Here is a 10,159-nt window from a genome sequence, read left to right as displayed (position 1 = left end):
AAGGCCAGCATGGGGAGATAGACTTGATCTGGCCTCCTGTCTCCTTGCTGGTCAACTGGCAATAAAGCTTTCCTTTTCTCAAAATCTCATGCCATAGTATTGGCCTCTATGCTCATCATGAAGTGACCCCTTGGCCTCAGTAACTGTCCTCTACCCTGAGAAAAAGCAGATAGTATATGATTCCTTAACATATAATTCTACAGGACGCAAACTAATCCACGGTGACCAAAAGCAGATTCACTGTTATCTGAGGGACTGATACGGTAGGCTGTGACTGGGAGGAAGGATTATAAATGAGCAGAAGGAAACTTTTATGTTCATTCTCTTGATTGTGGTGGTGGTTTCAGGGATGTATACACACATATGTAAAAGGCAAACTGTATGCTTTAAATATGTACAGGCTTTACACCAGCACTTCAATAAGGCTGTTTAAAATTTTAAAAGGTGTGGGAAAGAACACAGGCCACACATGTGGTGGTGGAAATGGCCCAGGCTTTGCTATTAAAGTTGCGCTAGTGTCCTTTGTCAAGTCACTTAGAACTCTCAGCTGCAAAGATAACACCGCCCTGGCAGGGATTAAGAAATAGTGTACAGGCCAGGCGCAGTGGCTCACACCTGTAATCCCAGCACTTACGGAGGCCGAGGAGGGTGAATCACTTGAGGTCGGGAGTTCAAGCCCAGTCTGGCCATTATGGCAAAACTCTGTTTCTATTAAAAGTACAAAAATTAGCCAGGCGTGGTGGCAGGCACCTGTAATCCCAGCTGAGGCGATCACTCGAATCCGGGAGGCAGAGGTTGCAGTGTGCCGAGATTGCGCCACTGCATTACAGCTTGGGCGACAGAGTGAGACTCTGCCTCCGAAAAAAAAAAAAAAAGAAGAAAGTCAAGAAAAAAGAAATAGTGAACAGGCCGGATGCGGTGGCTCACGCCGGTAATCCCAGCACTTTTGGAGGCCGAGGTGGGAGATCTTTTGAGCCCAGGAGTTGGAGACCAGCCTGTGCAACATAGTGAGACCGCCCCCTCTACAAAAATGTCATAATTAGCCGGGTGTAGTGGCCTGCGCCTGTAGCCTCAGCTATTTGGGAGTCTGAGGCGGGAGAATCACTTGAGCCCCAGGAGTTCAAAGCTCCAGTGAGCTAGCTCTGGTCACGCCAATATACTCCAGCCTGGGCTACCAAGACCTTGTATCAAGAAAAAAAAAAAAAAAGAAAAGAAAATAAAAAGAAATAGTGAAAATTTAGGCGAATTTAGGTGAAGCACAGGGTATTCGTCCAGGTGTGACATGCAAGGTGGAATGGTGGCAGGCAGCCCGACTCAATTCCAGGCCCTAACTCATCTTGGATCTGTGACCTGAAGCACGTTCCTGAGCGTCTCCGTTTCAATGTCTCAATTGCAAAGCGGATTAAATGACTCAACACAAGTAAGACAGGAGGAGCGCAGGGGCTGGGGCGTTCTCGGTAAGCTGAGAACAAGCCGGGTGGACGATGACCTGACGGCGCCGGCGAGACCCCGGGCCGGTTGCTGGGGTCGCACACAGGCAGCCGGAGGGGCGCGCAGGAGGGTCCGGGGCAGGGGCCGGGAAGACTGGGCAGATAAGAGAGCCGGAACAGGCGAGGCGGCCAAAGAGGCATCCAGGAGCCGCGACAAACGTGCGGGCAGCGCAACAAGTGACCCGCAAAGCACCCAACCACCACCTTAACGCTACTTCCCAGCCTGCCCCGCGCCCTCGGGCGCAGGCGCAGTGAGGTGGGCGGGGGGCACGGCCCAGTTTCGGGGGGCACGACCCGGCCCCTAGCCCCACCCCAGCCGCGGCCACGCCCCTCGCCGCGCCTCTAGAGCGGGAGGCTCGGCTGCTGGTTTCAGTTTGCAGCTAGGGAAGGTGGGGACATTGCCAGTGTCGAGTGGGTTGATCCTCCCTGGGTCCCTCTGCAAATTTAGGACCGTGCCACGAGTCCAGTCAGGAGCGGGACGCCTACCCTGCGGCGTCGTGCGCGCTTCAGGGGCACTATTGCAAAATAGATGCAGCTCTCAGGCAGTTTGCTTGTTCCTGGGTGAGGAGTTTTTGGTTAAAAAACAGTTGTTCCTCCCCGAGTTTGTGAAAGATAATGTATTTAAAAAATAAAACAAAGAAATTCCCAAGTCCCATCTGGAAATAAAAGATAGTTTTAAAAGACACCTGCATTAGATTGCTACAATAAAGTTATGTTTTCGTATTTTTTTCTTGATACAAAACAAATTTAAAAAAATATATTTTTAGACAGAGTTTCACTCTTGTTGCCTAGGCTGGAGTGCAGTGGCGCGATCTCGGCTCAACCTCCGCCTCCCGTGTTCAAGCGATTCTCCTGCCTCAGCCTCCCAAGTAGCTGGGATTACAGGCGCACGCCACCACTCCCAGATAATTTTGTATTTTTAGCAGAGATGGGGTTTCATCATGTTGGCCAGGCTGGTCTCGAACTCCTGACCTCAGGTGATCCGCCCGCTTCAGCCTCCCAAAGTGCTGAGATTACAGGTGCGAGCCACCGTGCCCAGCCAATAAAATATATTCTTTTTTATTTATTTATTTATTTTTTATTTATTTATTTTTATTGATCATTCTTGGGTGTTTCTCGCAGAGGGGGATTTGGCAGGGTCATAGGACAATAGTGGAGGGAAGGTCAGCAGATAAACAAGTGAACAAAGGTCTCTGGTTTTCCTAGGCAGAGTGTGTGTGTCCCTGGGTACTTGAGATTAGGGAATGGTGATGACTCTTAACGAGCATGCTGCCTTCAAGCATCTGTTTAACAAAGTACATCTTGCACCGCCCTTAATCCATTTAACCCTGAGTGGACACAGCACATGTTTCAGAGAGCACAGGGTTGGGGGTAAGGTCATAGATCAACAGGATCCCAAGGCAGAAGAATTTTTCTTAGTACAGAACAAAATGAAAAGTCTCCCATGTCTACTTCTTTCTACACAGACACGGCAACCATCCGATTTCTCAATCTTTTCCTCACCTTTCCCCCTTTTCTATTCCACAAAACCGCCATTGTCATCATGGCCCGTTCTCAATGAGTTGTTGGGTACACCTCCCAGACGGGGTGGTGGCCGGGCAGAGGGGCTCCTCACTTCCCAGTAGGGGCAGCCGGGCAGAGGCGCCCCTCACCTCCCGGACGGGGCGGCTGGCCGGGCGGGGGGCTGACTCCCCCACCTCCCTCCCGGACGGGGCGGCTGGCCGGGTGGGGGGCTGACCCCCCCACCTCCCTCCCGGACGGGGCGGCTGGCCGGGCAGAGGGGCTCCTCACTTCCCAGTAGGGGCTGCCGGGCAGAGGCGCCCCTCACCTCCCAGACGGGGCGGCTGGCCGGGCAGGGGGCTGACCCCCCACCTCCCTCCCTGACGGGGCGTCTCGCCTGGCGGGGGCTGACCCCCCCACCTCCCTCCCGGACGTGGCGGCTGGCCGGGCGGGGGGCTGACCCCCCCACCTCCCTCCCGGACGGGGCGGCTGGCTGGGCAGAGGGGCTCCTCACTTCCCAGTAGGGGCGGCCGGGCAGAGGCGCCCCTCACCTCCCGGACGGGGTGGCTGGCCGGGCGGGGGGCTGACCCCCCCACCTCCCTTCCGGACGGGGTGGCTGCCGGGCGGAGACGCTCCTCACTTCCCAGACGGGGTGGCAGCCGGGCGGAGGGGCTCCTCACTTCTCAGATGGGGCGGTTGCCAGGCGGAGGGTCTCCTCACTTCTCAGACGGGGCGGCCGGGCAGAGACGCTCCTCACCTCCCAGACGGGGTGGCGGGGCAGAGGCGCTCCCCACATCTCAGACGATGGGCGGCCGGGCAGAGACGCCCCTCACTTCCTAGATGGGATGGTGGCCAGGAAGAGGCGCTCCTCACTTCCTAGGTGGGATGGCGGCCGGGCAGAGACGCTCTTCACTTTCCAGACTGGGCAGCCAGGCAGAGGGGCTCCTCACATCCCAGACGATGGGCGGCCAGGCAGAGACGCACCTCACTTCCCAGACGGGGTAGCCGCCGGGCAGAGGCTGCAATCTCGGCACTTTGGGGGGCCAAGGCAGGCGGCTGGGAGGTGGAGGTTGTAGCCGAGATCACGCCACTGCACTCCAGCCTGGGCACCATTGAGCACTGAGTTAACGAGACTCCGTCTGCAATCCCGGCACCTCGGGAGGCCGAGGCTGGCAGATCACTCGCGGTTAGGAGCTGGAGATCAGCCCGGCCAACACAGCGAAACCCCGTCTCCACCAAAAAAATACGAAAACCCGTCAGGCGTGGCGGCGCGCGCCTGCAATCGCAGGCACTCGGCAGGCTGAGGCAAGAGAATCAGGCAGGGAGGTTGCAGTGAGCCGAGATGGCAGCAGCACAGTCCAGAGGGAGACCGTGGAAAGAGGGAGAGGGAGAGGGAGCTAAAATATATTCTTATCAAATAATTGTACTACTACCAAGTTTAGTTTGTGTGAACCCCATAAAATGTAATATATGAGTGCATGAGGAAATCCCAAAGATTTCACACTCTTTTTACATTAAAAAAAAATTGTTTTTGAGACAGAGTCTTGCTCTGCTGCCCAGGCTAGAGTGCAGTGGTGTGATCATAGCTCAAAATGTAGCCTCCGGCTCCTGGGCTCAAGAGATCCTCCCACCCCAGCCTCCCAAAGTGCTAGAATTACAGGAATGCACCACTAGGCCCTGGCAGAAGTAAAATTTCTGGGTCGTAAGGTATGTATATGTTTAATTTTAGCAGCTACTGCTAGTCGGCTTTCCACAGTATTACTTTTATCGAAATAATCAGATTGGAGGCCAGTGCCATGCCTGTAATCCTAGCACTCTGGGAGGCTGAGGTGGGAGGATCACTTGAGCCTAGGAGTCTGAGACCACTCTGGGCAATATCTCTACATAAAATTAAAAAATTAGCCTGATGTGGTGGTTGGTGCCTGTCATTCCAGCTGCTTGGGAGGCTGAGCTGGAAGGATGACTTGGGCTGGGGAGGTTGGGAGGTTGAGGCTACAGTGAGCTATGATGACATCATTACATTCCAGCCTGGGTGACAGAGTGAGAGCCTGTCTCAAACAAAAACCAACCAACAAACAAAAATACCCAACTAAAAGGGTTGTTTTGGAGATTAAATAAACAATGTATGGAAACTGCTTAGAAGAAAGTCTGGCACACAAGATACCCCTTACAAATATTAGTTTCTTTCCTTCCAAAAGATTTTATTTGGGATATTAGGAGATATTGATAATATTTGATCAGGAAGACATAGCATGCCCTGTTACATTTTTTAGAGTGTTTAACAAAACGAAGAGAAGTCTGAGACTGAGTGTTAACCTCCTGGTTTTCTGCTGCTGGGTATACTTTATGCCAAGCACAGAATGAGAGCCTGTGTGAATTAAGCTTCTTTCCCAAGATGATGAAGTGTAGAACACTTTGGTGGAGAACAGAAGAGCCTGCACAGCCTCACCCCTGTGTTTATAGTGTTTTGAGGGGTAGAAATAAGCATTTCAGTAGTCTTTCTGTGGCATCTGCTCCAGGACAAAAAGCCCTAAAAGGTAAAGAGTACAGGCCAAGATGCCAATGCCAATAACTGGTGATATGGTTTGGCCCTGTGTCCCCACCCAAATCTCACACTGAATTGTAAAGGTCCCACCCACATGTCAAAGGCGGGACCAGGTGGAGGTAATTGGATCATGGGGATGGTTTCTCCCATACTGTTCTTGTGAAAATGAGTGAATCTCACAGGGTCTGATTTTTTTTTTTTTTTTGGAGACGGAGTCTTGCTCTGTCGCCAGGCTGGAGTGCAGTGGCACAATCTTGGCTCACTGCAACCTCCGCCTCCCGGGTCCAAGCAATTCTCCTGCCTCAGCCTCCCAAGTAGCTGGACCTACAGGCGCGTGCCACCATGCCCAACTAATTTTTGTATTTTTAGTAGAGACGGGGTTTCACCATGTTGGCCAGGATGGTCTTGATCTCTTGACCTCGTGATCTGCCCACCTCGGCCTCCCAAAGTGCTGGGATTACAGGCATGAGCCACCATGCCCAGCCGATCTGATGGTTTTATAAGCAACTGGCATTTCCCCTGCTTGCTCTCATTCTCTCTCCTGCAGCCCTATGAAGAAGCACCTTCCTCCATGATTGTAAGTTTCCTGAGGCTTCCTCAGCCATGCAGAACTGTGAGTCAATTAAACCTCGTTTCTTTATAAATTACCTAGTCTTGGGTATTTCTTCATAGCAGCGTGAGAACGGACTAATACAATTGGTTTTGTCCAATCTGCAGAGATGACCATTGCTATCACAGCCAAAGAGAGGCAAAGCAAAAGGGTAGGAAGCCCAAAAGTCCTAAGACCTAATAGCATGAACACCAATGGCAGGTACATGGAGAGGATGAGGACCAGCATTGGGATCTTTACATTATGCTCGCAGAGCTCATAAAAAATTTAACAAATTAGGCTGGATGCTGTGGCTCATGCCTGTAATCCCAGCACTCTGGGATTACAGAGACTGAGGTGGGAGGATTGCTTAAACCCAGGAGTTCGAGACCAGCCTGGGCAATATCTCTATTAGAAAATTAAAAAATTAGCAGGGCATGGTGGTACACTACTAGGGAGACAGCTACTCAGGAGGATGAGGCTGGAGGATTGCTTGCGCCCAGGAGGTAGAGGCTGGCAGTGAGCTAAGATCTCGCCACTGTACTCCAGTCTGGGCAACAGAGTCAGACCTTGTCTCTCTCTCTCTTAAAAAAAAAAAAAAAAGGGCCAGGCGCAGTGGCTCAAGCCTGTAATCCCAGCACTTTGGGAGGCCAAGGCAGGTGGATCACGAGGTCAGGAGATCGAGACCATCCTGGCTAACACAGTGAAACCCCATCTCTACTAAAAATACAAAAAATTAGCCGGGGGTGGTGGCGGGCGCCTGTAGTCCCAGCTACTCGGGAGGCTGAGGCAGGAGAATGGCGTGAACTCGGGAGGCAGAGCTTGCAGTGAGCCGAGATCGTGCCACTGCACTCCAGCCTGGGCAACAGAATGAGACTTCATCTCAAAAAAAAAAAATGGACTTGACTAGAACAAAATGAAGTGGACTAGGGATGCTGGCATTTTGTCTGGATGTAGGAAACGGGGAGCAGAGTGGAAGTTTCCTCCTGCTTGTTCAGTGGTTACCCTTGGGGAGCAGAGTGGAAGGTTCCTCCCCCTTGTCCTGTGGTTACCCTGGGTAAGCCCTGTCTTATTTAGTTTTATCACAAGGCAGGGCTTGAATGTGTCAGCCTATGATTTGGTCATCTGTGGTCTCTTCCAATTAAACAAGGAATGTGCAGCAGTGAATGTCATGGAGATGTTCATCCAGCAACTATTGTTGGAGGGTAACTCTGTTCCCAAAGCTCATGTTATTATTTTTTATTTTTAAAAAAGGCATCCTAGAGGGAGACTGAGGGGTTTAGTGACAGCCTCCCCACATCTGGGCTTATGCTATGCCAGTGTGGTCTTCCTAAAATACCACACTGATCATGTGAAAGACCTGCATTAAACGTTTAAGTGGCTCTCATTGCCCATAAAATAAATCTCAGACTTCTCATCCTGGCATTAATGGTCCTCCCTGAGTTGACCTCATTCTGTATTGAGGCTTCCTTCTAATTATTCACTAAACCATAGTCTCGTCAGCAAAACTAGTTTACTTGAGCTTTCGCGAACTTTCTCATTCTTTGTGCTTTTATGAATCCTATTCATTTTTCACGGCCTTATTCAAATTCATCTTCCGTCTTCCCTGAAGTCTTTCCTTTATAGCCCAACTTCAAGTGTTTTCCTTTTTGTGGTTAAAAAAAATTTTTTTTGGCCGGGTGCGGTGGCTCACACCTATAATCCCAGCGCTTTGGGAGGGTGAGGCAGGACAATAGTGAGGTCAGGAGTTTGAGACCAGCCTGGCCAACATAGTGAAACCCTGTCTTTACTAAAAATAGAAAAATTAGCCGGGCTTGGTGGCACCTGCCTATAGTCCTAGCTACTTGGGAGGCTGAGGCAGGAAAATTGCTTGAACCCGGGAGGCGGAGGATGCAGTGAGCTGAGATCCCACCAATGCACTCTAGTCTGGTGACAGAGTGAGACTCTGTCTCAAAAAGAAAAGAAAAGAAAAGAAAACAACAATCATCCACATTCCTATCACTGAGAATCAATCACTGCTAACTTTTTTTTTTTTTGAGACAGAGTCTCTCTCTGTCACCCAGGTTGGAGTGCAATGGCATGATCTCTCCTAACTGCAACCTCCGCCTCCCGGGTTTAAGCAATTCTCCTTTCTCAGGCTCTCAAGTAGCTGCGATTACAGGCACCCGCCACCACTCCTGGCTAATTTTTTGTATTTTTAGTAGAGACAGGCTTTTGCCGTTTTGACCAGGCTGGTCTCGAACTCCTGACCTCAGGTGATCCACCCCTTTGGCCACCCAAAGTGCTGGGATTACTGGCATGAGTCACCTCACCCAGCCAGCAGTGAACATTTTTGCATATTTAATTTAAATCTTTTTTTTTTTTTTTAAAGAAAAATCAGTGTTGGTTTGATGACAATGATATTACATTTTTCATTTCATTCATTTCATTTTCATTTTTATTTTTGGAAGAAAATCACTTTATTTTAATTAACTCACAGAGAATAAAATCACAGCTAGTTTAAGGAGGCTACACAAACATTTGCCCAGCCCCAAATTCTACACGACCTTAATGAAATTCTGCACAGTAAGAGCACCTTCTTTCATTTCAATTCTGAAGCAAGGAAGCTATGAATGACAAGGAGAGGTTTAACTGATGGTTACACTTTATACCTTCACTATCAATTATATTTTTATACTAAATTAACTTGGTTATGAGAGCTGATTTTTCATTACTCCAATTTGACCTTCTTGATTAGGCCAATCTGTTTGAAGGTCTGCACTGTTTCAGCACCTCACTGAAACCCTCACAGAGCTTTCTGTCACCCTGGTTCTGTGCATCCTCCAAAAACTGGTCTCATAGAAGCAAGGCCGCTGCTGCTGTGCCGACTGGATTCCCTGAGGCTACTGGTAAGTGATGTCAGGCCTTACAGGCTCAGCATTACTTCCTCCACTGAAGCCCCCGGTGACGGCGTGGCCCAGTGTGTGCCCCACAGCAGAGCCCACAGCCACGTCAGCTGCAGTGGTTGCCATCTGGGCCCTCAGACCTGGCTGCTGGGGAGCAGCAGCAGGAGAGCCAACTGCAGAGGTGGATGCCACTGTTGGCGGCTGAGCTGCAGGTGCTGGCCTGTATGCAGCTGTCATCTGAGATGCCCGGCTGGCCAGAGGGGCCATGTGGGAAGTGTGGCTTCAGCTTCCATGGGGCATCCTAGGTGTGTTGGCGGCTCGGCATTTGGATGTGTGAAAACAAGCCGTTTTGTTCATTTTAAAGAGCTCAAACAATGCAGAAAACTGCAGTGATAAAATTTAGAAAATATATAATCCTCCCTGAATTCCGCCACCGAGAAAGAAACACCATTAGCTGTATTTTTATTTTTATTGCCCAGGCTGGAGTGCAATGGCTCGATCTCAGCTCACTGCAACCTCTGCCTCCCGGATTCAAGTGATTATTCTGTCTCAGCCTCCCAAGTAGCTGGGATTACAGGTGTGCACCACCATGCCCAGATAATTTTTTTGTGTTTTTAGTAGAGATGAGTTTCACCATGTTGGTCAGGCTGGTCTCAAACTCCTGACCTCAGGTGATCTGCCCGCCTCGGCCTCCCAAAGTGCTGGGATTACAGGCATGAGCCACCACACCTGGCCTATCAATATTTGTTGAATGAATATCTTGTAGAATTTTTTAAGGCTTTGAAATTGCTTTGTATTTGGCAAATACTTTAAATCTAATGCCTCTCCCACTTGCTTTTTTGAAAAAATGAGTTATCCTTATCCTTATCCTTTTCCCAGGATAGCCCTCAGACTTTCCTGGGTGGGCCCTACATCTCAGCAGCCTCCCTGGAAAACATCCTCTGCTTCTCTGGACTCTCCAAGTGGGATAGATGCAGAGAATATCTGCCCTCTTGGCCCCCACAGGCTGAGCATACCCAGTAATTGGTCTTATTATTCTGTGTTGGAATTTTAGAAAGATAGTGTGATGTGGTTATTATTCTATGAATATCAACTTCTAAATTGATCCAATGCTCAATGAAAATGACATTTCTTTTTCTTTTTCTTTTCT

General features: G+C 50.0%; 1 pseudogene, besides 3 other annotated features; it reads right to left on the bottom strand.

The window, feature by feature from the left end:
* Positions 994–1,529: an enhancer, noted in NCBI's record as "H3K27ac-H3K4me1 hESC enhancer chr19:34625657-34626192 (GRCh37/hg19 assembly coordinates)". NCBI's record gives its function as "activates a minimal SCP1, AML or CMV promoter by ChIP-STARR-seq in primed H9 embryonic stem cells {active_cell/tissue: H9 hESC(primed)}" and the evidence as "EXISTENCE:reporter gene assay evidence [ECO:0000049][PMID:30033119]".
* Positions 1,513–1,922: a silencer, noted in NCBI's record as "silent region_10501". NCBI's record gives its function as "represses an Ori minimal core promoter by ATAC-STARR-seq in GM12878 lymphoblastoid cells {active_cell/tissue: GM12878}" and the evidence as "EXISTENCE:reporter gene assay evidence [ECO:0000049][PMID:35858748]".
* Positions 8,568–9,356, bottom strand: CHCHD2P3 (coiled-coil-helix-coiled-coil-helix domain containing 2 pseudogene 3; annotated as a pseudogene).
* Positions 9,126–9,635: an enhancer, noted in NCBI's record as "H3K4me1 hESC enhancer chr19:34617551-34618060 (GRCh37/hg19 assembly coordinates)". NCBI's record gives its function as "activates a minimal SCP1, AML or CMV promoter by ChIP-STARR-seq in naive H9 embryonic stem cells {active_cell/tissue: H9 hESC(naive)}" and the evidence as "EXISTENCE:reporter gene assay evidence [ECO:0000049][PMID:30033119]".

Source organism: Homo sapiens, chromosome 19 (assembly GCF_000001405.40).
Source record: "Homo sapiens chromosome 19, GRCh38.p14 Primary Assembly".
NCBI classification, from domain to species: domain Eukaryota; kingdom Metazoa; phylum Chordata; class Mammalia; order Primates; family Hominidae; genus Homo; species Homo sapiens.
This window is presented reverse-complemented; position numbering and strand designations above follow the sequence as displayed.